The following is a 26,007-nucleotide window of genomic DNA, read 5'->3' on the forward strand; positions in this document are numbered from 1 at the left end:
ATATATGTCTTCATTTTCTTTGAGTTCTGGACAGACTTTAAATAATGCCTAAGATATTAGTGCTGAAACAGAATTAGAACTTCTTAAATGGAAATTTTCAAATATAAGCAAAAGTAGAAACTGTAATATGATGAACTCTTAGGTACCATTACCTCAGCTTCAACATGGCTAGACTTTTTGTACTCCCTTTCACCCCCATTAATTATTTTAAAGCAAATTCCAAACATGATTTCAATTAGTAAATACTTCAGGCTGGGAATGGTGGCTCATGCCTGTAATCACAGCACTTTGAGAGGCCGAGGCGGGAGGATCACTTAATCTCAGGAGTTCAAGACCAGCCTGGGCAACATGGCAAGAAACCCCATCTCTACTAAAAATACAAAAATTCACCAGGTGTGATGGTGTGCTCCTGTGATCCCAGCTACTCAGGAGGTTGAGATGGGAAGATTACTTGAGCCCGGGAGGTGGAGGTTTCAGGGAGCCGAGATCACGCCATTGCACTCCAGCCTGGGTGACAGAGCCAGACCCTGTCTCAACAACAACAACAACAACAACAACAACAACAACAAAGTATGACCACTCAAGGCTAAGCAGGACGGAATATAACTTTACACTCCTGAAGTTTAATAGATTCTGGGTTACTCCTTCTAAGTAGCAGAAACCAATGAGTAAAGATATCAAGTCAAGAGGTTAAATAAGCAAAACAACAATAACAGAATTAAAAAGAAACTTTCAGTAGGTAACTCTAAAAAGTTAAGGGCATTTTTATTTTTAACACAACCATAATATAATTATCACACCTAAAAACAGTGTAGTTCCTTAATATCATCAAGTATCTAGAACTTATTTTTCAGATTCACCAGTTGTTAATATTTCATCCCATTTACTTTATCTCTTTGTGTGTGTGTGTGGCTGAGCCATTTGAAAGTTGCAGACATCATGACTCCTCATTCCTAAGTACTTCAGTTCTTATTCTCGTAAGAATAAAGACAATTGTTCATATAACCACAGTATCATTTTTGTATTTAAGGAAATTAACATTAATTCAATAATATTATTTATATATAGTCCATATTGAAATTTCCCCATTTGTCCTTCAGATGTCTTTTTTTTTTTTTTTTTTTTGAGACATAGTTTCACTCTTTTCACCCAGGCTGGAGTGCAGTGGCGCCATCTTGGCTTACTGCAACTTCTGCCTCCCGGGTTCAAGCGATTTCAAGAAATTGTATGTGAAACAATTTCTTGATGTGAAGTAGGGGTCCAGTTTCATTCTTCTGCATGTGGCTATCCAGTTGTTCCAGCATCATTTATTGAAAAGGCTATTATTTGTCTATTGGATGGTCTTGGCACCCTTGTTGAAAATCAGTTGACCATAGATTAATGGTTTTTTTGTTTTGTTTTGTTTTGTTTTTGGACTCTCAAGTTTATTCCATTCATCTTTATGTCTTATCCTGTGCTAGCACCAGACTGTCTGGATTACAGTTGTTTTGTAATAAATTTTGTACTTGGGAAGCAGTTTTGCTATTTTGTTCTTTTTTTTTTTTTTTCAAATTGTTTTGGCTATTTTGGGCTCCTTGCAATGCCATATGATTCTAATAATTTGAATCTTCTTTCTTTTTTTCTTGGTCAATCTAGAGTCCTTTGTTTTCTTGCACAAGATGATACAGGCGTTCACCTTTTCCTTGCTCCAGGAATGTTTCACATTCCTTGCTCCAGACCTACGGTCAGCTCTTTCTCCAGGAACCCTTGGTTCCTTAAGGGGAAAGAGGGTGGTATTTAGAAACCAAGATCTGAGTATTAGGTGTGCTCATTTCTAGTGGTGGATTACTTCTAGCCCTCTTTAAAGAGCTAGAAAATATACATTTTAAAATATCATGAGTTCATACTGAAATCTCCAGTTCAGATCCAGTTCCACAGGGTTCTTCCTTTTCCCATATCTCGTATTCATGTTTCCAGTCTCACAGAAGAAACCCTGGCTCCTAGCACCTCTAATGTATTTACTCATTTGCTTCAAGTTACAACATACACAAATAGTTTCAGAATTATAACACTAATGCCATGATTAATAGCAAACTTAATTCAAGATTTTTATACTACTTTTGTTCTTAGAATATATCCTACTAAGATATACAATGAGATTGCTGTCAGACGTTTGATTCTAAATATAGATCTGCAGATTTCAAATCTCTTTAGAGATTTTTGCCCATGTAAGTTTGCCATTTGCATGGCATAGGGGGAAATGTAAGAGTGAGATAGACCTGGGTTCAAATCCCAGCCCAGTTAGTAGCTCTTTCTTATTTTTTATTAGTATGTTTAATTATTTGTAAAACAGGCATAATACTGACCTTGGAGTATTGTTGTAAGAGTAAAGATAATGACCCAGAAAGCACTTAATGCTGGTAGTCATATGAGAGACAGTGGCTGTTGTAATTTATTTAACCCTTGAAATATTGAAAAACAGAATATTTGACTTTTTAAAAATAGTCTTGGCCAGGCACGGTGGCTTGCGCCTGTAATACTAGCACTGTGGGAGGCCAAGGTGGGCGAATCACTTGAGCCCAGTAGTTCAAGACCAGCCTGCACAACACAGTGAAACCCCATCTCTACAAAAAATACAAAAATGAGGCAGGCATGGTGGCGGCTGTAGTCCTAGCTACTCGGGAGGCAGAGGTGGGAGGATCACCTGAGCCCGGGAGATGGAGGCTGGGGTGAGCTGTCATTGTGCCACTGTACTCCAGCCTGGGTCACAGAGTGAGACACTGCCTTAAAAAAAAATATATATATATGTATGTGTGTGTGTGTGTGTGTGTGTGTGAGTGTGTGTGTGTGTGTGTGTGTGTGTGTATATATATATATATATATATAAAAAAGAGGCCTGATTATTTTATTTGAAAAATTCCAAAGGCAGTTTTGGTGCTGGTGAATTTAAAAAATGTCCCTTGAAATAATTTTGCTAAGTCATCATGTTTCTAACGTGTTTTAAAAAAATATAATCTTGAGAAATCTGTAAGCTATTAAATTTTTTAAAAATGTAATCTAATTTTTGCCAGGTCTAAACACTAATCTTGCTTAATTAGTTTATATAAGGAGTGCTGTAGACCTAAATATCTGTGGAAAATAGATTAAAGATAATTTCTTTCTAAGTGTATCCTGTATTCATCAGCATATCTTTTGTCACAAAGTGCCAATCTGTGTTGTTAAAGTTGTCAGATGTGGCTCAGATACTATCCTGTTTCTATTTAGACTGCTTTTCTTGGATGTCAAATGTCCTAATTTCTTTTATTTTTATTTTTAAAGTAGACTTTGTATTGTAAGATAGTTTGAGATTTACAGAAAAATTGAGAAGGTGGTACAGAGTTTTTATATACCCTGCACCCAGTTGCTCCTATTACCAAGATCTTCTGTTGGTATGATACATTTGCCACAATTAATGAACCAGTAGTGAGTCACTGGTATTTATTTACTAAGGTCCATAGTTTATTCAGATTTTCTTAGTGTTTTTCATGTCTTTTTCTATTCCAGGATCCCATTTACAACACCACGTTGCACTTAGTTTTTATGTCTTTTTAGGCTCCTTTTGTCTGTGACAGTTTTTCAGACTTTTCTTGTTTTCGATGACTTAGCAGTGTTGAGGACTGGTTTATAGTGTTGTCATGAGTATTTCAAGCTTTTTATACAATGCCCCTTTGTTGGAATTCGTCTGATGTTATCCTTATGATTAGACTAGTGTTTTGGGTTTTGGGGAGGAAAACCACAGTGGTGTAAAATGCCATTGTTATTACATCATATTAAGGGTACAGCCTTTCAACATGAATGTTCACTGTTGATATTGAACTTGACCATCTGGCTGAAGTAGTGTTGTCAGGTTTCACCACCGTGCAGTTACTCCTCTTCCCCACTTTCCACACTGTACTCTTTGGAAGGAAGTCCCATGTGTAACCCATGCTCAAGGAGTGGGTTGTGCTCTACCTTTTTTGAGGGCAAAGTATCTATGTAAATACTTGGAACTTCTCTGTAAGGGAGATTGGTCTCTTTTTCCAGTTTGTTGATTCAATCACTTACTGATGTCAGTGTGGACTTGGTCTCTTTTTCCAATTTGTTGATTCAATCACTTACTGATGTCAGTGTGGACTTAACGGATATTTATTCATACTTTGGGTTATAGTTCACTGGTACTTTATTTTGCTGCTCCAGCTTTCACCACTGGGAGCTCTTTCAGTTGGCTCCTATGTCCTTTTGACATACTCATTTATGTAGATTTTTTATTTTGAGAACTTTCTTATTTCCTGGCACTATAAGAACTTCAGGTGCATCAGTATATTTCCTGCTTCTCTCCTAGAATCGACCATTTCTTCAAGGAGTGCTGGTTCCTTTATTGAAGGATTGTATTAGAAAGAGATCTGGGCATTAGGTGTGCTCGTTGCTACAGGGGTATTGTTGCTTTTAAGCTCTCTCAGGTGCTGGCATAGAAATATGTGTGTGTACTAGATCATTCCTGTTGCTCCAAATCCTCACCAGCATTTTGACTTAACCTAATTCATTTCAATGCCTAGGTGGATAAATATGTAATAATAGGTATGTTCGTTTTAAAGTTAACAGGCTGGAAATATGTTCTTACCTGTTTTGAGGATGTTCTCCTAAACTTACATCTCTTCCTCTGACTTCTATTTAAACTTACTGCATTTTGGCTAGTTATATTAATTATTTATATGTTGTTACTTTTTAAATAATATACAGAATCAACCTTGCAGGGATCAGATCCCCTTGTAGGGCAGGCAGTGGGGGCTGTTTCTTTTCTGTGGTCCATAGCTGGAATTATCTTTATGTGTCTTGGTATTGCGGATAACAACAGGGAGCAGATGGGTGGTCCATTTGCAGGAGCTGCCTTGACTTTGAGGGCCACAAAGCAGGTATGATGAAGACTAGATCTGTTTCCCAGCCTGATCTAGTGAATGGTGCTCCCTCCTTTTCCTCCCGTCCTGGCCTTCATTAGGAGTATCAGTTTTTGTATTATAGATAAGAATGCCTGTTTTAATTGCTGTGTCTGATAGGATGTTAGGTGATAAAGTTTTCTATATGCTCCCTTCCCAGTGTAATTTAGTGGTATATTTGGTATGTTTATTCAGTCATTACATGGCCTGTATCCTGGATGCTCCCTTGTGTAGTAGACCTTTTGGCTTAAGGGTAACCACTTGCAGTAAATATGCTTACTGTGATTTTCTTTTGGTGAGGGACTGGGGTATAAGAGTGGTCTGGCTGTGACATCTGCATGCCGTTTAGGAATTAGCTGTACTTTCCAATTTCTGCACGTGGAATGAGTGGACTGGCCTATGTGGTAGGGAGTCTGTTTCCTAATCAATTCTCTGGCTATTAATTTTTTTTTTTAATTTCAATAGTTTTTTGGGTACAGGTGATTTTTGGTTACATGGATAAGTTGTTTAGTGGTGATTTCTGAGACTTTAGTGCACCTGTCACCCAAACAGTGTACACTGTACCCAATATGGAGTCTTTTATGCCTTACCTGCCTCCCAGTCTTTGCCCCGGAATTCCCAAAGTCCATTGTCTCATTTTTATGACTGGCCATTCTTTTTGACAGTAACTAAATGACTGTTAGGTCTTCATTTCTGTGTATTTCCACCTTTATAATTAATGCAAATTAGTGGGATTTTCATTACTAATTTAGTAGTTGGTGTCTCCTTTGTATACTGCATGATATTCTTTAGGCAGTGAGTCCATGCTAATTTTTAAAAAATATCTGTTTCAAAAATAGCATACTGTAGCTATTATCACATAAAGCAAAAACCTGTTATTTGGATTGGCCAGTTACTTGAACAAAAACATTTCTAATATTCAGAATGTATCCAGTCTTAAATCTGAATAGTTTCCAAATGTCAAGTTGAAAATATATATATATGTACTTTGTATAAAGAACATGTTCATGTTGCCAAACACTGCTGAAAACGGTAACATTCCTTCTGATTTCTTTATACAGCAGATTGCACAGAGTTTGAAAGATGAACAGAAGAAGGTACCTTCAGAAGCTTCATTTTCAGATGTTCACTTAGAAGAAGGAGAGTCTAACAGTCTGACAAAATCTGGTATGTTATGATGTCTTAACTGCCAGCATTTATTCATTTGGGTTAACAAACCTTTACTGAGGACTTGTCCTGTCCCAGACATGAAAAACAACTTGTGCCTTTGAGGAGCCCACACTTTATGGGGGGAGATTGCCAAGCCACAGACAGAATTCAGTGGTGAGTGAGATGCTAATGGTTTGCACAGGGTACCCTTGGACCATGGATGAGGGGCATGGAAATTGCGAAGGGAGATGAGCTCTGAGTGTGGGAAGGTGGGCTCAGTGTGGGGTGTGGTGTCTGAGAGCTATAATGTGTTTATGAAGAGTATGAGAGAGCCAGGTGAAGTAAGTTTGTTTAAGATAGATAGAATAGAATGTAGAAAGGCATGCAGGAATGGAAAACCATGGCTATTTTGCATAATTCAAGTGGTTTGGTATGTTTGGGCCCAGGTTGTATGTGGGGAAGGAGCAGGTAAAATAGGCCAGATAGGGATAGATGTCATGTGATAGTCTCATGGCCTTTGGACTTCTAGCTGGCATAGTGTATCATGGTGACTGGACCATCAGATTTGCATTTTGTAAGCATACTGAGTGTCTGGGACTGGAGTAAAATACTATTGACACAGTTGTATGGGATGGCTTGGACTAGGGTACATGTTATACAAGGAGCAAAATTGTCCCAAGAATCACCCTGGATACTCATTAGGGACCTAGACAGCAAGCTAGATGGGAAGTAAGCCATCTCTTCCCCACCCAGCTATAAGAGTGGCCCTAAAGCGTAGCTCCCCATGGGACAACTGGGAAGGTGGGTACTGTAACTCCATGGGCTTTAAAGAGCCCCAGCTACCTCAAGATCCCCAGGTGAAGGGCATCATCAGGTATTCTGAGTCTACTCTATAAACAGTTGCTACACTAAATCCAGACTGTCAAGCAGCTGGATATTGCCCATCTGACAAAGTCATTTTATCATGCTCGCCCTATAGGAGGGAGGACCCACAGAGGGCTGAAATTTCCTCCTCTGCAATAGAACCCATACCATGTCCTAGTATACCTCTTGGTCCTAGTATACCTCTTTATGAGCACGGGAGAGACGAGAGTACATTTCTGTCTTGCCAACCCCGGACTTGTGCGTTTTCTCTTTCCCCACTAAAGCCTACTTTTTAACCCATTACTGGCATTACAATGAGGCAGTGATGGGTTATTGGCAGAACTGTAGAGACTGATCAGGAAGTTGTTATATTTTTCCATTTGAAAGATAAAGGTGGTTTGAACCAGGGTGGTGTTGGGGGGATGGAGAGAAATACAGAGATGAGGGATATGGTTAGAAGTTTGAATCAGTAGAATTTGATGGCACCTCAGATGTGAGGGTTGAATAAGGTCCATGTGGAACAACTGAGAGGGTCTGTATTATATGGTTCTAGAAGCTGTACTGTCCAATATGGTAGCCACTGCCATTGAGCGTGTGAAATGTGGCTAGTCTGAATGTGCTGTAATTGTGGCTAGTCTGAATGTGCCATAATTGTGTAAGATTCACACCAGATTTCCAAGACTTAGTATGATATAAGGAATGGAAAACAGGCTGGGTGCAGTGGGTCACGCCTGTAATCCTAGCACTTTGGGAGGCTGAGGTGGGCGGATCACCTGAGGTCAGGAGTTCGAGACCAGCCTGGCCAACATGGTGAAACCCCGTCTCTACTAAAAATACAGAAGTTAGCCAGGCGTGGCTGCATGCGCCTGTAATCCCAGCTATTCGGGAAGCTGAGGCAGGAGAATCTCTTGAACCCAGGAGGTGGAGGTTGCCATGAGCCGAGATTGTGCCACTGTACTCCAGCCTGGGCGACAGAGTGAGACTCCATCTCAGAAAAATAAAAAAAAAAAGGAAAATATCTTATTAGTAATTTTTATATTGATTACATGTTAAAATGATATTTTGGACATATTGGATTGAATAAAATATACTAAAATTAATCCTGCTTCCTTTTTTTTTTTTGAGAGACAGAGTCTCACTCTGTTGCCCAGGCTGGAGTGCAGTGGTGCAGTCTCAGCTCACTGCAACCTCCGCCTCCCGGGTTCAAGCAATTCTCCTGCCTCAGCCTCCTGAGTAGCTGGGACTACAGGTGCACACCAGCACGCCCAGATAATTTTTGTATTTTTTAGTAGAGATGGGGTTTCACTATATGTTGGCCAGGCTGGTCTCGAACTCCTGACCTCAAGTGATCTGCCTGCCTTGGCCTCCTAAAGTGCTGGGATTACAGGCGTGAGCCACTGCGCCTGACCAATCCTGCTTTCTTTTTACTTTTTTTTTTTCTTTCAAAGAGATGAGGTCTCGCTGTGTTGCCCAGGCTGGTTTCGAACTTCTGTGCTCAAGCAATCCTCCTGTTTTGGCCTCCCAAAGTGCTGGGATTACAGGCATGGGCCACCATGCCCAGCCATTTTTTTCTTTTTTAATAGACATGGAGTCTCGCTATGTTGCCCAGGATGGGTCTTGAACTCCTGGGCTCAAGCAGTCCTCCCACCTTGGCCTCCCAAAGTGCTAGAATTACAGATGTGAGCCACTGTGCCTGGCCTCTTTTTACTCTTTTTTTGGAGACAGGGTCTGGTTCTGTCGGGCAGGATGGAGTGCAGTGGCATGATATTGGCTTACTGCAACCTCTGCCTCCTGGGCTTAAAGCCAACCTCCCACCTCAGCCTCCCAAGTAGCTGGGAGTGTAGGCTCATGCCATCACGCCTAGCTAACTTTTCTACTTTTTTAAAATGTGACGTTTTACTGTGTCACATTTATGATTTACATTATATTTCCATTGAACAGCACTGCCGTAGAGCTGTAGAGAGAAAGACTGATTTAGAAATAAAGGATGAGGTGTAGTTGGTGCTTTGGGCTTGTGTAAGATCATCCTAGGACAGATTGTAGAGTGACTGTAGCAGACGTCTTGGGAGAGAAACTGAGCCAGTGCTGACGTTAAGGAGCAAATGGAGATAGAGGAGTAAACTAAGCCCACCAAGAAAGAACAGCCAGCGTGGTCAGAAGTGGGCAAGTGAGAGGGTGTGATTGATGTCAGAGGAGGAGGGGTTGGCAGTGTAGTTTGCGTAAACAGGTGAGAAGATCGAAATCTCAAGAACATTGTAGTTATAAAGTGGCATGCTAAGTTTTAAAACTTTAGAGGTGGAACAGTTGAGAGGAAGAAGGAAGTCTGTGGAAAGTAATAAGAATGCGATTCTGCGAGTATTAAGAAAATCTGCCCCTGGGGTAGGGGTGTGAGGATGGAAGAGAAAGTCTTTGGAGTTGAGAAGGTAAGGATGAACAGCTCGTCATCTGTGCAGTTATCAGTGTTATCACAATGGCGATAGAACTTGGGGTGGAAAGCAAGGCTCTGAGTCAGGTAGGAAGTGGAGCAAAACCAAAAAGAATAGTCATAATCACTTTTCCTGGTTTCCCGGTTCCCTGGTTCCCACCTCTAAAGCTGGAAGTGAGAGAATGAGAAGCCTCTGAAAGGAGGGCTTTAAATGATGTGAAGTTCATGGCATACAAGGAGGTGTCAGGGCAGATTGGTGGAGGGACCCATCTTGTGAAGAGACCAGTTATCAGTACCTTCAAAAAGTACAGCTTTGTTCTGTATGTAGAGCAAGTAAGGGGGAGGTGAGGCCCGTGGAGGACGACGGAGGCAGACGTGCAGGAGGGCTGTGGGAGAAGCCCTGGTCCCGGGGCCTGCTCTGCTCCTCAGGAGTGGCAGCCAGAGGGCACTTGGCTTTTGAGGGTTTGCCCCGGTGAACTAGTATTAGTTACATAGGAAAGGGAAAAAATGAACACAAGCTGACTTCTGGCTTTAAAGTACTTAAACACATTTGTTTGACTAAACTTTTATTTGGGAGAATTCTTTTGGCACTTTATTTTGAAGAAGGGATCCTGCACATACCATATTCCTAAGGAAAACTATAAATATTTCATCTCCTAAATATTCTTTGATGTAATTTGTTTATTCTTTTTCTTTAAGAAACTTAATACAAATTAAATGTTAGTTTAAAGTGAGCTCTTATGGAAGAAATTTAAAAATTATACAAGTTAAATAGGAGTGGTGAGAGAGAGAGAAAAAAAAATTTTACAAGTAGTACTTGTTTTTGGAAAAAAAGCTTACAGAATTGTAAAGTGAAAGTACTGGCCAGGCACGGTGGCTCACACCTGTAATTCCAGCACTTTGGGAGGCCGAGGTGGGCAGATCACCCACGGTCAGGAGTTTGAGACCAGCCTGACTAACATGGCAAAACCCCATCTCTACTAAAAATACAAAAATTAGCTGGGTGTGGTGGCACATGCCTGTAATCCCAGCTACTCGGGAGGCTGAGGCACAAGAATTGCTTGACCCCAATAGGCGGAGGTTGCAGTGAGCTGAGATTGTGCCACTGTACTCCAGCCTGGGCAACAGAGCCAGACTCTGTCTCAGAAAAAAAGAAAAAAAAAAAAAGCCTGGGTGTGGTGGCTCATGCCTGTAATCCCAGCACTTTGGGAGGCTGAGGTGGGTGGATCACTAGGTCAGGAGATCAAGACCATCCTGACCAACATGGTGAAACCCTGTCTCTACTAAAAGTACAGAAAATTAGCCGGGTGTGGTGGCATGAGCCTGTGATCCCAGCTACTCAGGAGGCTGAGGCAGAAGAATCACTTGAACCCAGGAGGTGGAGGTTGCAGTGGGCTGAGATTGCGCCGCTGCACTCCAGCCTAGGTGACAGAGCCTAGGTCCAACCTAAAAAAAAAAAAAAAAAAAAAAAAAAAAAAAGGAAAGAAAGCACTAAGCTTCAACCTTTCTCCCTCATCCCTTTCCCCTCAAATCTGTGCTATACAACCTACAGGCCTTCTTGTAAGAATATGCTGCTATAACCATTTATAAAAAGGAATTAATGTTTGCTCTGTAACTTAATACCAGTGTATCATAGATCTACTTCTATTTTCTTATTATTGAAAACATTCCAAATATACAGAAAAGTTGAAAGAAAGATGAATGATGAACACCCATACCCACAACTTGGATTCAAGACTTAACATTTTATTTTTTATATATATTTTTATATATATATATATATACACACACACACACACACACACATACACATATATATACATATATGTGTATGTGTGTATTTGTATGTGTTGGGGTGTGTGTGTAAATATATATTTTATGAACCATTTTAAATTATTGACGTCATTGACACTTCACCCTTGAGTATTTCAGCATCTCCAAAAAATAACGACATCTTTTACTTAACAATAAACCATTATTGCACTAAAAATTTAATGAGTTTGCTAATGTCCTCTAATGCCTAGTCCATCTTTCAATATCACCTGTTGTCTCAAAGTATTATACCAGCTCCACTTTTCATGGTTCATTTGAAATTTGGTCCCTCGACCCAGAAGTGATTGTACTTCCCTTACAGAGGTGTCTTTGCTCAACCATACTCCCCACCTGCTCTTCCTCACAGTCGCCAGAGTCTGCCTTTTCTGACCTTCCCAGTGGTGGGGGGAAGCCCGCTCTGGTCACCTGGGAATTGGATGTACTAACTAGGCCTGTATGTGATTTGACTCAGAGTGTGGAAGACAGTCTGACAGGTGAACCTAATTTGATTAATCCCCCTGTTTAGAAGTGCTTTGTTTTCTTGTTACTCCCCCACCTCCACAGGCTCCCACCTGCTTCCTTCCTCATGACTACATAGAGATCTGCTTCCTTTTTTTTTTTTTTTGAGACGGAGTCTCACTTTGTTGCCCAGGCTGGAGTGCAGTGGCGAGATCTTGGCTCACTGTAACCTCCGGCTCCCAGGTTCAAGCGATTTTCCTGCCTCAGCCTCTCGAGTAGCTGGGACTACAGGCACACGCCACCACGCCTGACTAATTTTTGTATTTTTAGTAGAGACGAGGTTTCACCACATTGGTCAGGATGGTCTTGAACTCCTGACCTCATGATCCGCCTGCCTCGGCATCCCAAAGTGCTGGGGTTACAGGCGTGAGCCACTGTGCCCAGACGATCTGCCTCCTTTTTAATGGCTGCATTCTATAATGTGATTATGCTTTTCCTATGTTCCATAAAGATTATTGATCACAATTTGGGAAAAGCAACTTGGGTTGAGCATATATATATGAAGCTGGAATGTATGTATGTCCATATTCATGTGTATTCTCAGTTACTGTGTTAAATCTCACCTGTCACTGATTTAGATTTCTTAGGGTATTCTTGATGAAAACTGAGGTGGGAAAAAATTGGTGCCCTCTAGCTACTTATAGCTAATGAGAATAAGCAGTTTATAGTTGCCATGTAAATTATTGTAAGACAAATATCCACATGTGTGAAATGTGTCTTCTTTTCCACTTGGGTTTTAGGTTCAACAGAATCCCTCAATCCTAGACCACAGACCACAATTTCTCCAGCAGATCTTCATGGAATGTGGTATCCTACGGTTCGAAGAACTCTTGTCTGTCTCTCCAAATTATACAGATGCATAGATGTACGTGTATCTTTACTGTGAATTGCTCGTTCTTTCACTTGAAATATTTTTAAATTTACATTTTAAGATCTTGATAAAGTATTTTGTTGGATATTCTTAAAATCATGATTTTTAGATATGGAAGTAACTTGAGGTCAAGCTAATTTAGGAATTTCTAACCTGAACTTTCTATAGAAACTTATAATTCAGTAATGGGCTTTGGGGAGTCTATGGACACCTCAAAATTGTGGGCAAATTTTGCATGACTGTTTTATGTGTGCATTCCTGAAGAGAAGACCCTGACTGCATTTAGAGCAATGATTAAATACAGCAGTCATGTAATGAATTGTCTAGATGCCACTATTTCTTAAGGATATGGTTCAAAAGGAGTATGCATTTACCCTTACACCGCAGAGATATTTTATATTGTAGGACTGCACAGTTGTTTCATTGGGTCAGTAGAATGTACACTACTCTATATTTAATTTAAAATGCATAATTGCTGGGCTTTGTGCTTATAGATTTTGAAATGCTACCAAAAGTGCCTTTTGCCCAGTTCTGGGACTCTTAAGGACAGGCCCAGATCACCTCTACAGACTTAGATGTCTCAGCCTTTTTGCCCAGCTGATGAGATCTCTTCCAGAGAGAGGTTTGGATATTTGGCATCTCTTCCTCCCCAGGGTGTCCATTAGGTTTATTGAATAATGATATTAGGCTGAGATTCAGCAACTTCCTGCAGTGGAGTCAGGATCCCAAGGAAAATACGCAGGAGGCATATTCCACATAGAACCCATTGTCATCACAGACTCTAGGAAATAAAACCTCTTAGGGTGCTTAACAGGGATTTTAGCTTAATAGTAGGTAGGCCTGAGGAGGTCACTATGCCAGTTTTGTCTTATGCCTTAGGCTGGCTTATTCTTTTTTCACCTAGCTTATATTCAAATCTTAACACTTTTAGTCTTACCGATCAAAGGTGGGGAAAGACAATCCAGTGTAAAATACGTTAAGGCTGAGCAAGGGAAGGCGAGGGTCTTGGTCTAAGCTGCTCATCTTAAGCTTTCTTAGGCAGGGTTAGTGACCCAGCAGGTGGCAGCTCTAATCTCTCCTTCCTATAGTAATAGCCTTGTGGGAAACCACAGAACAGGGAGAAGCAATGTAAAAAGAGAATAACATCAAGTTGGAGACCAGGGCCCAGGACAGTGGCCTAATAATGAATAGGCTCATATTTATGTAGAATGGAGGCTGGGAGTGAAGCAAGGGGACTGACAGGAGTCCTGGTCCAACCACCATGCCACACCTCTGGGAAGATAGTAATGGCAGAATTAAATTAAGAATCATACTGCCTATACCATTTGGTAACCTGTTTTTTTTTTTTTTAAACTCCATTATGAATTTCACCGCCTCCTTCAGCATTCTTTGATTTCATAAACAGTATTCTATAATTTAGATTTAGTCCTATTTTATTTGTCAGTCCCCTGTCTTTGAACATTTATGTTATTTCCAGTTTATGGCTGTTCTAAATAATACTGTAATGAAGAGCCATGTACATGATTTCCTAAAATACAATTCTGTTGTATTTTTAGAAGTGGATTTACTGAGGGTTTGTTTTAAAGTTGGTTTTAGAGATTTAAAAAAGAGCCCCACATGAGATCTTGTTGGAGCGAAGGCTCCGTGAGGTCAGAACCATGCCTGCCTATATTTCTAGCATCTAGCACAGTGCCTAGTATGCTAATCAATATTTATTGAATGGTCACATGAATGTTTCCAGGGATGACTGCATATTACATATCTATGTGTTGGTTTAGAAAGGTTGCATGGGAATAGGAAACCAGGAAGAATAATACAAGTAGTAAATTAATCCAACCATGAGGGCAAGCAGGCATTGTTATTTGCACTTACAGCCTAGGATATTCCTTTTTTTTTGTTTTGTCAAATGCCACAGGCTGATTATTCTCTTTTATTCCACCAGAGGGCAGTGTTCCAAGGATTATCACAGGAAGCATTGTCTGCCTGCATTCAGTCCTTACTTGGAGCGTCAGAGTCTATCAGCAAAAACAAGGTTTGATGAAGTGTTAGGTGAAATCCTGTTTCCTGGTAAAATATTGTGGAATATAGCATTTACTTATAGGCACAGAAGTTTAAAGCTGTTTTGGCAGTAGGATTTGTTTAACATGATTGAATTTTGAGGCTCTTTGAGAGAAACTGTTATTTCATTATAGTGCTAAATAAAGACTGTACTATATAAGAGAGTCCAACTTTGCTAAAGTACCAAAAGTGGTACTTAGGTTACACATTCTATAGAGTAAAGGTTTCTTGTTGTAGTCCTAGCCACTGGGGAAATGATACTATTTCCCTGGAATACCAAGAAAGCATTTTCAAGGAAACATCACAATTTATAATCATCTCTCTCTACGATAATGTTTTAAATAGTTGAATGTTCTTACATGGAGGAAATGAGTCAGTCAATTTTGAGGACAGGTAATTGTGGCTCTGGGTTGTGTGACTAGAAGGAGTCACCATGACTGTATGGCTTACAATTTTGTTTGTTTGTTTTGAGACAGGGTCTTGCTTTGTCTCCCTGGCTGAAGTGCAGTGGTGTGATCATAGCTCACTGCAGCCTCTATCTCCTGAGCTCAATCCATCCTCCTACCTCAGCCTCCCAAGAATCTGGGACTACAGGCATGTACCTTCATGCCCCTGCCAAGTTTTGTATTTTTTGTGGAGACAGGATTTTGTCATGTTGCTCAGGCTGGTCTCAAACTCCTGGGCTCAAGTGATTTGCCCACCTTGGCCTCCCAGAGTGCTGGAATTACAGGTGTGAGCCACTGTGCCTGGCCTTTTTTTTTTTCTGAGAGAGGGTCTTACTCTGTCACCTAAGCTGGAGTGCAGTGGTATGATCTCTGTTCACTGCAGCCTCAACCTCCTGAGGTGAAGCAATTCTCCTGCTTCAGCTTCCTGAGCAACAGGACTACAGGTACCTGGCTAAATTTTTTATTTTTTGTAGAGACAGGATCTCACCATGTTGCACAGGCTGGTCTCAAATTCCTGGGCTCAAATGATCCTCTTGACTCAGCCTTCCAAAGTGCTGGGATTACAGGTGTTAGCCACCGCACTTAGCGGTTTACAGTTTTTAATCCAGAAGGGATCTGGGGCTGAAGGCTGCTGGCATGTGCTTCTCCCACAGACCCTGAGATTTTTTTTTTTTCCCAGGAAGTAGAGCATGTTCAAAAGTGTTGCTTTGCTTAACTCTCCTCTTAAAATACCTGTCACCTATAGGGAAGGAGCTGTGGGAGCTGTTTCTAGCCAAAATTTTCTTCCCACTTGGAGTGTTCAGATCCTGTGAACTTTTTTTGATATATGGATTTATAAACGTGACTTTTAAGGCTTTTATATATATATATATAATATATACATATAAATTATATATATATAATATATACATATAAATTATACATATAATATATACATATAAATTATATATAATATATACATATAAATTATACATATAATATATACATATAAATTATACATATAATATATACATATAAATTATATATAATATATACATATAAATTATACATATAATATATACATATAAATTATACATATAATATATACATATAAATTATATATATAATATATACATATAAATTATATATATAATATATACATATAAATTATATATATAATATATACATATAAATTATATATATAATATATACATATAAATTATATATATAATATATACATATAAATTATATATATAAAAGTGATATATACATTTTATATATATGTATCTCTCCACAGAATAATTTGGGATCTTGTTGCTAGGAAAGCTTTATCTTTGTGACCACTATATTTTTCTCATTCATGAAATGGAGAGGTGAAATGAAATTTTCACATGGGGACTAGAAATAAAGTTATAGACAGGCAGATTTAAGTTTTAACAAGTATTTCCAAGTCTGTGCCCGCACATTTTTGATAATAGGTGAAATTAGAAAACACATGTCTAATGTTAAGGAAATGGTTACATAAATTGTGGCATGTTTTATATAACAATATTACACAGTCATTAAATTTTTAAAAATGAAACAATAAAATTTAACTTAAACATATTAAGACAACAGGTATTTAAGATGCAAATCAGATAATATGGTATGACTATGTAATAAAATGCATTGAAGAAAATATGTAACAGTGAAAGCTTTTAGGTGACTATGGATGATTTTTTCTCTCATTCCCTATACATCTCTTTATTTTCTACAGTGATCCTGTGTTTCTCAGATCTCAGGAGGGAAAAATATGACCTAATTTTAAAAAAAGTTCATAGGCTTATGTCCTCTTGTACCACTGTCCTCTCTCTTTTTTTTTTTTTTTTTTTTTGAGACAGAGTCTCACTCTGTCACCCACGCTGGAGTGCAGTGGCGCTATCTCAGCTCACTGCAACCTCCACCTCCTGGGTTGAAGCCATTCTTGTGCCTTAGCCACCCAAGTAGCTGGGATTACAGGTGTGTGCCACCACGCCCAGCTAATTTTTGCATTTGTAGTAGAGACAGGGTTTCACCGTGTTGGCCAGGCTGGTCTTGAATGCCTGACCTCAAGTGATCCACCCGCCTTGGCCTCCCAAAATGTTGGGATTACAGGAGTGAGCCACTGCACCTGGCCATGTCCTTTCTCTTAAGGGAGGCATGAAAAGCGTTTTGATAGTTCGGTCTTTTGCCCTCCTTATCTGTAGGCCATCCTCTTTTATCTAATTCTGTTTCCTACATATTATAAGAGGTTTAAATATGTATGGAGAAGCTCTCAATTTGATAGACACTAGCTTATTATTTTCATGGTTGAGCTTGTGTACTTTTTTTTTTGTTTGTTTGAGATGGAGTCTCCCTCTGTCGCCCAGGCTGGAGTGCAGTGGCGTGATCTTGGCTCACTGCAAGCTCCGCCTCCCAGGTTCACGCCATTCTCCTGCCTCAGCCTCCCTAATAGCTGGGACTACAGGCGCCCACCACCATGCCCGGCTAATTTTTGTATTTTTAGTAGAGACGGGGTTTCACCATGTTAGCCAGGATGGTTTCTCTGTCTCCTTACCTCGTGATCCGACTGTCTCGGCCTCCCAAAGTGCTGGGATCACAGGCGTGAGCCACCGCGCCTGGCCAAGCTTGTGTACTTTTATCTTAAAAAGTGATCAGTGAAAATGGATTAATGTCTTAAACAGTTTTTTAAGGCAAGAAATTGTTCTTACATACTTAAACTGAGCACCTGTCAACAAATTAACATGATACTATTTGCTGGATTACAATAGCTTTAGTGAAGTAATAAAATCTATATGATACAATTTTTGGCATCAGAGTTGTTAGGTCTTTTAAAAATAGAGCAAGTATTTAAAATGTGTAGCATTTCCCACTTACCTGGTGCTCTGTGTTCCCGTATGCAGAGTGAGTTTCCATGACATAAGTCACTGATTATGTTTATTAAAATCAGTGGAGAGAGTAAGCGAGACTGGGAAGGAATCTTCATTTAATAACTCCTTTAAAATTTATATTGCTTACTGAAAGATAACTTTATCTTTTCCTAAGGTAATATAAAAGTTTCATTAGCAATATTTTCAAAATAAGATTCTGCCTTGAGTAACAGCAAGAAGGAGCAAATACAGCCTTGCTCTTATTAATATACAAACTCTTTTCTGAAATGAGAGCTATGATTATTCAGTATTTGAGGATTGGGTCAGAGGTTTGAGAACGGAGTTTGAATCACAAGACTCTTGTGGATGGGTCCTGAGAGGGCAGAAGGACATGCTGGACCTTCAGGGATGTGGGTAGTCAGAGCTCTGTTGGTGGCAGGAGGATCCAAAATGGCAACCTCAAATCATTTTACATTTGTATAAATATAAGTATGTCTGATGTTCTAGATATTGAAACCACTTTGACCAAATAGTGAAAGCCATGTTCCTGAGGAGAAACTAGAATGCCAGGCCAGGTCAGGATCCTGCTTGTTATTTGAGCCTTTCTTTACCTCCTCTGCTCTGGGCCACAGTTAGGCTGCATCATCTCTTCTACCTCTGCACCAGGTGAAAGTAGATTGGACTTCTCTTTGTAAATGTGTTGCTTTACAGCCTTGTGTCTGACTTTCTTGGATTTTTAAAGTAGAGCAAGTGACAGTGCAAATAAGAGTTTGAAGCAAGATTTTTTAACTTAATTCTAGCATGGGGAGAGTTCATTGCACAACTAAAGAGAATTGACACCATAGGCTGTAAACCTAGGTAGATTAATGTTGATTAATAATGTATGCTGTATATGCTTTTATTTTGATTTAATATGTGATCATATCCATTTTTCTGTCTTATAATTTAGACTCAGATTGATGGACAACTTTTCTTAATTAAGCACCTTTTGATACTTCGTGAACAAATTGCTCCATTTCACACTGAATTCACCATTAAGGAAATTTCCCTGGACCTCAAGAAAACTAGAGGTACTTTGCTGTCCTGGCTGGCACACTTGGGTGTGTTTGATCTGTCCAGATGTGTCAGCACAGGTTTTAGGTTTATTTTATGTTCATCTGCAATTTTTTGCATGCTTTGCTTGCTAAATATGTTATTTGTTCGTACTAAGCTGAGCTGTCACCATGCTAATGACTTCTAACTTGCTGTATTTTCTTTATGAAGGGAACTGTATCTGGACATTTCAGTTTGTAATATTAGACTCATTTAGACTCTGCCACATATTCCTACAACCAGTTAAAAAGTGAAAAATCTGTATAATAACTGCTTCCTAAGTAAGTAATGTCAGCTAGTTGGGATGATTTTAAGCACTGAGTTGAGTTTGTCAGTTTATGAAAATTCAGGAAGCCAGCTGGGTAAAATGAGAAGAGTACTTATCTAAGAATTTGAAAGCACTGGGTTTTCTTCCTGTCCCATCATTTCCCGGCCTTTGTGTGATCTTGGGTGGGTGTTTTAGCTTCTCCATGCCACCTTCCTTTTATGTAAAATGAGCATAATGAACTTGTCATGATACCTTCACGAGGTTATCAAGATCATTAAGACCGAAAAGGAATGAAAATATATGTTAACATCTTCATAAATTTCAGGTGCTTAAATAAACTTCAGTGGTATTAAATCAGTAATCATGTAAGATAGGGTCTTTGAGTTGGTAATAGACATTGAATCATCTTGAGAAAGATGATTCATCCATCCTAATGATTTGTCTCTGAATTAGTAAGAGATGATTTCTAAAAGATCAGAGTAGTTAATTTTTAAGATAATTGATCTTAAGCAGTTAAGGATATACCATACACATCCCTCATGTCCCTTAATTACTTACAAATTTATGTAAACTTTATCTTAAACATTTCTAAGAGATTTATGCTCTGATGCCTTAAGCCATTCATTTATGTGATCAGTTAACTTCTCTCTAATGTTTTGGGGCAATTAAAAAAATGGTCACTCAAATTATTTTCTATGTGTTACAGTTTAGAGGAACCCCAAATATAGGATGTTCAAGGATAGCAGGTTTTTAGTTCCCCAATTCCTGTGCCTATCTGATAGTGGATTTGATTTAACTCACCCGAGAGCCAGTGTAACCTCATGATGATTCTTCTTAAAACAGTTTGCTCTATTTCGTTCCCTAGTGCTCTCTCTTGTCCACCACGGAGAATATGTTTTGGTTCTGTAAAGCATGTGTGTTATGTACTTTGTGATTTTAAAATTTTTAAATTATTTTTGTTTTTTTCTCTAATCTTGGAAGTGGCACACCATGTGTTTTTGTTTTGGTTTGGTTTTTAAATAGGAGCCAGATACCCTGGCTTTTGCCTTTACAGAACACATAGTTTTTTTAAAGCTTATTCTCATCAGAGGCTTCCATCTCCCACCCATTCTGGTTGATTTCATTCATTCCTTTCAGTGTGAGGTGTGGGAATCATGCTCTTACACCTTGAAGAATTCCCAGCTTCTGACAGTTCTTACTTTAAGTGATGGGATAGAGCAGGGTTGATTTACTTTCTTTCATTTTTTTCTAAAGTTGTAATTTGTTGCTGCTTGGTTCTAGTGTAGATCAACTGAGGTGAGAGAAAGTGAAATATCTTGAGATTGTGGCAAAATTTGGTTGAAAGTGTGTTTTCCTCCAAATATTACAAAGCCTGTGTAACTCTACCATATGATGATTTGATTCTGTGCAGACAGAATCTTTGAGGGATCTTATAGAAAAGACAGCAGACACAACTATTTACTAAAGCTTTACTCTGAATACTGAACTGATAGAGAGAGGGTCTTCTTCATTACTACCAGGGTCAAGGCAGTAAGTATTATGGTAGTGTGTGCTTGCCAAACCAGGGTTACAAGCATTTCATGCTTTGCTTTATCTGGTCTGGCAAAGCAAAGAGATGTTTTTTTCTTACTCACTTAATAATACTTGCTATCTTTACTTTTACGCCTCTAACCTCTCAAGACTAACATTATATTGTATTGCATTTGAACATCAATGAGACCTCAGCTAATACTTCACATAGATTCTAGTTAGTCTGGAGGTTAAGGGGTAAATACGTCCTTTTGGTGTTTTCTTCTTGGCTGACACATTAGTTTATTATTCTGCTTCAAATGAATAAATTTCTGTGCCAGCCAAGATTTTAATAAAGAAGCTGGGTAAGTATATGAGTATTTTTTAAAAACCTATTTAATATCCTAAAAGTAAAGCAGTGAAATTTTAAGGTGCCGATTACCATTTATCATTTTTCTTTTTTTTGGTAAGTGAATAATTGAGATTAATAGTCATTTTGCAATTTGAACTTCTAGAAAATAACTCTGTGAGTACTGTAGCCATCACTGGTGCTCATCTCACTCTCAGCCTTTCATGGAGGTGAGTTGCTGAAGGTGAATTGGCTTTTTGCCTTGTGGTGGTAGAGAACTGGTGTATGTTACTCATGGCTTTGCTGTTGAAACTTTACATGTTCACTGGATGAGTAATTTTGTTTCACAGATGCAGCATTTAAAATCCTGAACCCTATGACTGTCCCAAGATTTTTTAGGCTGAATAGCAACAATGCCTTGATAGAGTTCTTGTTGGAGGTGAGAAGGAGTCTGTTTCATTGGTGGTGGGAGATAAACGACATTCTTTACATGTCTGGTGATTTCTAGGCACATAAAAACAGGAGGAAATTGTTATCTTCTTTTTAAGGGTACTCCTGAGATAAGAGAACATTATCTTGACTCTAAAAAAGACGTAGACCGTCATCTGAAATCGGCCTGTGAGCAGTTTATTCAGCAGCAGACCAAGCTGTTTGTAGAACAGCTGGAGGAGTTCATGACAAAGGTATAGACCTTGGTGCCTATGTGGTAAAGTCATTTTGCATTCTTCCTTAGATTTCCTTTTGAATTACTCTCTTGTGTAAACTCTGGCAGAAGGAGATATTAAGCCCAAGTCTTAATGATTCTGTCTAGGAAATCACTGTGTTTCCTATTATGGAAGCTTTCTGGTTTATGGACTTTTAGATATGCTTGCACAGTTTTTGTTTTTAAGAGGAAGAGTCGAAATATTGCAAAGCTAGTTATAGCTGACCCCTGGTTAGCTGTGTTCTGTTTATCCGCCTTGTAGGTTATCTGCATGTGGGCTGGGACTCTCACTTTCTCCTGGACCTGCATGGCAGCAACCACAGTCCTGGGAATCAGGGTTTCCTATTCTTAAAATGGGTGATTTGTTTTCCTCTTTGTTTTACATGCCGTTTTTCTCTTCCATTTTGCATGGATAATTGAGAACTGAAGACTTTTATAACATAGCATTGTTAACTGTCAGATATATGGATTTAATGTACAGTCAGTCCTCCTTCACATTGGTGGTCTCTTCCTGGAAACTGTGACTTTAAGTGAAACAACATAAAATGAAACCAATTTTTTTTTCCTCATCAACAGTATAATGAAACAATGTTGAACGTTGAAGGAACGACTTTATTTGAGGACATGCTGTGCGTCATTTCACTTAAAGTCACAGTTTTCAGGAACCTATTGCTGATATTAAGTGAGGACTGACTATATGTGTGGATAGTATATTCTCTCTGTCTCTCTGTCTTCTAATCTAAAATCCATTAACTGGCAAATGCCAGCAAAGAGAAAAGCAGATCATGGCTATTTTGACATTCTTGTTTCAACCTAATCATTTAAAAAAAATCTAAGTGTCATTACTAAGGACTTAAAGATATTTAAGAAGTCTTGAAATTAGGCTGGGTGTGTTGGCTCACACCTATAATCCTAGCACTTTGGGAGGCTGAAACAGGAGGATCGCTCGAGCCCCCAGAGTTTGACACTGGTTAACAGTCCTGGGTAACATAGTGAGACCTAGTCGCTACAAAAAACGAACAAAATTAGCCATGTGTAGTGGCGTGTGCCTATAGTCCCAGGTACTTGGGAGGCTGAGGTGGGAAGATTGCTTGAGCTGGGAAGTCGAGGGTGCAGTGAGTCAAGATCATCCTACTGCAGTCCAGCCTGGGTGACAGAGTGAGACTGTCTCAAAAAAAAAATAAAAATAAAAATAAAAATAAAAAAAGAGAAAGAAAGAAAACGTCTTGAAATTTTTATTTATTAAGCCGCTACTGTTTACCCCAGACTTGTATCAGAGGACATCATAAAAAGAATAAAAATATGATGGCTCTTATTTTCAAATTTGACTAGTCTTAACTGGACAGACAGGATATATGTATGAAATAACAAGGAGACAGCTATGCAATTGTTCATTAGAAACTTCTTGTTGGATCCATCAACGCTAATATGCCTGAAGCCTGTGGTAAAGACAGAAAATACGAGTTTTAAAAAATAATTAAAAAGGCCAAAAATGCATAGAAATGTTAAAGTACTCTTTTGTTTATCACTGGCATATATTGCTTGTTAAGTGGATTTTATTCCGAGTATTTGCAATGTGTGCATATGCATTTTTTTCCCACCACAAAAGCCATAAAAAAGGAGGGGGATAGAAATGCTTTCTCCTAGGTTTTGATTTTTTAAAAAAGGTTTGAGTATTGGTACTTTGTAATTTACAGATAACTTACAGTTTTTACTGAAACTACCCTTGTGAAAAACAAGCTGGTAGATTGTAGTGTATATTTCTGGGAGAACATCCACAGTAGTACTGGTGGGAAGTATTATAGATGAATATTGTACAATAACAGAACAGCAGAATGAATCTTCTGAAATAAGCAAGTTGATTATAATGAAATCCAGGATTAAAGGTTGTTCTAGAACAGCACAGTTTTTCTAGAAATCAAGAGAATAAAAATTTACACGTGCCCATAGTCTTAGCTACTCTGGATGTCTGAGGTGGGAGGATGGCTGAGCCCAGTAGTTAGAGACCAGCTTGGGCAGCATAGCAAGACTCTGTCTCAAAACATTTTTTTTTTGAAAAAGGAAATAGAGGTTTATGTAGAAAATATTCCAAGTCTGAATTATGTAATGGTTCTCCATGGACATGCTACATGCGTATAGCAGGGATCCCTGAACAAATGTTCATGGACCTGTTTTTATATTCCCTTCGTAATGGGATTGGGAAGGGAAAGGCCTTGCCTCTCATCCCCATTAGAAGCCAGTCTCATCCTACGTGATCAGTCTCTGCTGCCCTTGCTCAGACCACTTGTAGTTGCCTCCCTTTTCCTCTGTCAACCCTGGGCCCTCACTGCTGCTCACTGAGTTTCTACTGAGTGGACACTGCAGCCTGGAGGACTGAGCTTCCCTTTTATGGTGTCATATTCCAGATTCAGTTCCCTTTCATCCTGTGGCATAGAGTGAGTCAGAGACAAAGATACATACGTGCACACACACACACACACACACACACGCAACCATTTCAGACACTGCATCTTAAAATTTGTGGACCAAAGATTTTTCACTTTTTACCTAGTGACTGTTACTAGCATTCTGAATAGCAGAGAAACAGGAAGATTTTATAGAAAACTTTAAAATGATTTTCTTTAAAGGTAAACCTCAGCATTAATTACCTGCAAGTGCAGAATCTCATGCCTCTTTTATTTAGTTAGCTTTTTTTTTTTTTTTTTTTTGAGACAGTCTTGCTCTGTTACCTGGGCTGGAGTGCAGTGGCACGATCTCGGCTCACTGCAACCTCTGCCTCCCGGGTCCAAGCAATTCTTTTGCCTCTGCCTCCTGAGTAGCTGAGATTACAGGTGTGTGCCACCGTGCCTGGCTAATATTTATGTATTTTTTGTAGAGACGGGGTTTCACCATGTTGACCAGGCTGGTCTCAAACTCTTGGCCTCAAGGGATCTGCTCTCCTCGGCCACCCAAAGTGCTGAGATAACAGGCAGGAGCCACTGTGCCTGGCCTTAGTTAGCATTTTATAATGCTTGTCCCTTGATAAACGGTTGCAGGAAAATCAACACCCATAGGTACAGATGGGAAAGTCTTTCATCTCATTTGGATGTGTGTTTGTAGGTCTCGGTATTTATCATTTGGGTGTAAGGCTCATCAACAAAATGTCCTCAGCTTGTTTCTAAGTTTGGACTGATTTTTAACAATATAGATGTATTACCGTGTAGAGAATATTTTTAGATTGTCAGAGACTTGTTTTTGAGCTTAAAGAGTTGGGGTCTGATTTGGATCCCTTTCATCTACTGTAAATTGGCCTTGTTGTTTATGTAGCTTCTTCCTCTGTGCTCCTTGTTGAGACACTTTGTATGCATTAATTCTTACTACATCCCTGGAACCTGGAGTAAGAGAAGCATCTTTATTTGACAGGTTGAGAAATGGGTTGAGTATTCATGAGATAAGCATTTCTACAACATCTTCACCTGTCTGGTTTCTGTTTAATACCTGATTTTTGGTATAATTATTGATCTTTCCTGAGAAAAAATAAAATAAGTACTAGAAGAGTGTATATGCTCTGTTGCCTCATTTCCTGCCCCTGGAAAAATAACCTCTAAGTATTTGGCCTGAGGGAATGTAATGCTATTCTAAGGCTTAGGAGTAGAGGCTCATATGAAAACATTTGGCTTAGATTATTTTCTACCAAACTTCAAAAAGTGTTGATACTTTTTTATCGTTCTAGAATTCCATTGTACTAAATGTTGCTTGAAACAAACTCTTAAGTAGGACTTGGGATGGTAGTGGTTATAGTAGAAAGCAAGAACTTTGTGTCAAGGCAGCTGAGCCCTAGATCCTGCAACTGCGTCTGCCACCTTCTGACTGAAGTTAAGGTTATCAGGAGAGAAAACAAGATCATATGTGTATCTGTAAAGTGCTTGCTGCAGAAATGTTATTTTGTAGTACAGTTTGACAAATTTGAGGTGAAGATTTTGCTTTAGCACAAAGTCTAAATTAAGGCATTTTAAAGGAAGTATAATTCCAGGTTTGTAGCTAAGCTTAAAAGTGTTTTTTTTTTTTTTCTGATGGGACCAATTTATGCTAAAAACTCAGACTTATATATAGAAAATATTCATTTTCTTTCAAGTAATTTGATTATTACGAGTTTATTCTTAAT

The 26,007-nt window shown here is 39.0% G+C and overlaps 1 protein-coding gene across 4 annotated transcripts in view; it reads left to right on the forward strand.

Annotated features, from left to right (window-relative positions):
- COG3 (component of oligomeric golgi complex 3) overlaps positions 1 to 26,007 on the forward strand; it is a 71,763-nt gene that overhangs the window by 32,313 nt on the left and 13,443 nt on the right. For 2 of the 4 annotated variants that reach the window (XR_429222.5, NM_031431.4), the window contains exons 14-19: positions 5,993 to 6,098; positions 12,441 to 12,565; positions 14,514 to 14,603; positions 18,892 to 19,012; positions 21,511 to 21,599; positions 21,709 to 21,843. Coding sequence is in view for 2 of the 4 variants with exons in the window: in NM_031431.4 (NP_113619.3) it covers positions 5,993 to 6,098; positions 12,441 to 12,565; positions 14,514 to 14,603; positions 18,892 to 19,012; positions 21,511 to 21,599; positions 21,709 to 21,843 (666 nt within the window). In the remaining 2 variants the exon portion in view is untranslated. Of the gene's footprint in view, positions 1 to 5,992; positions 6,099 to 12,440; positions 12,566 to 14,513; positions 14,604 to 18,891; positions 19,013 to 21,510; positions 21,600 to 21,708; positions 21,844 to 26,007 lie in introns of those variants that run through there. The other 2 variants (XM_047430702.1, XR_007063702.1) reach the window with 2 other exon arrangements.

The sequence above is a fragment of the Homo sapiens genome, chromosome 13 (assembly GCF_000001405.40).
Source record: "Homo sapiens chromosome 13, GRCh38.p14 Primary Assembly".
NCBI classification, from domain to species: Eukaryota; Metazoa; Chordata; class Mammalia; order Primates; family Hominidae; genus Homo; species Homo sapiens.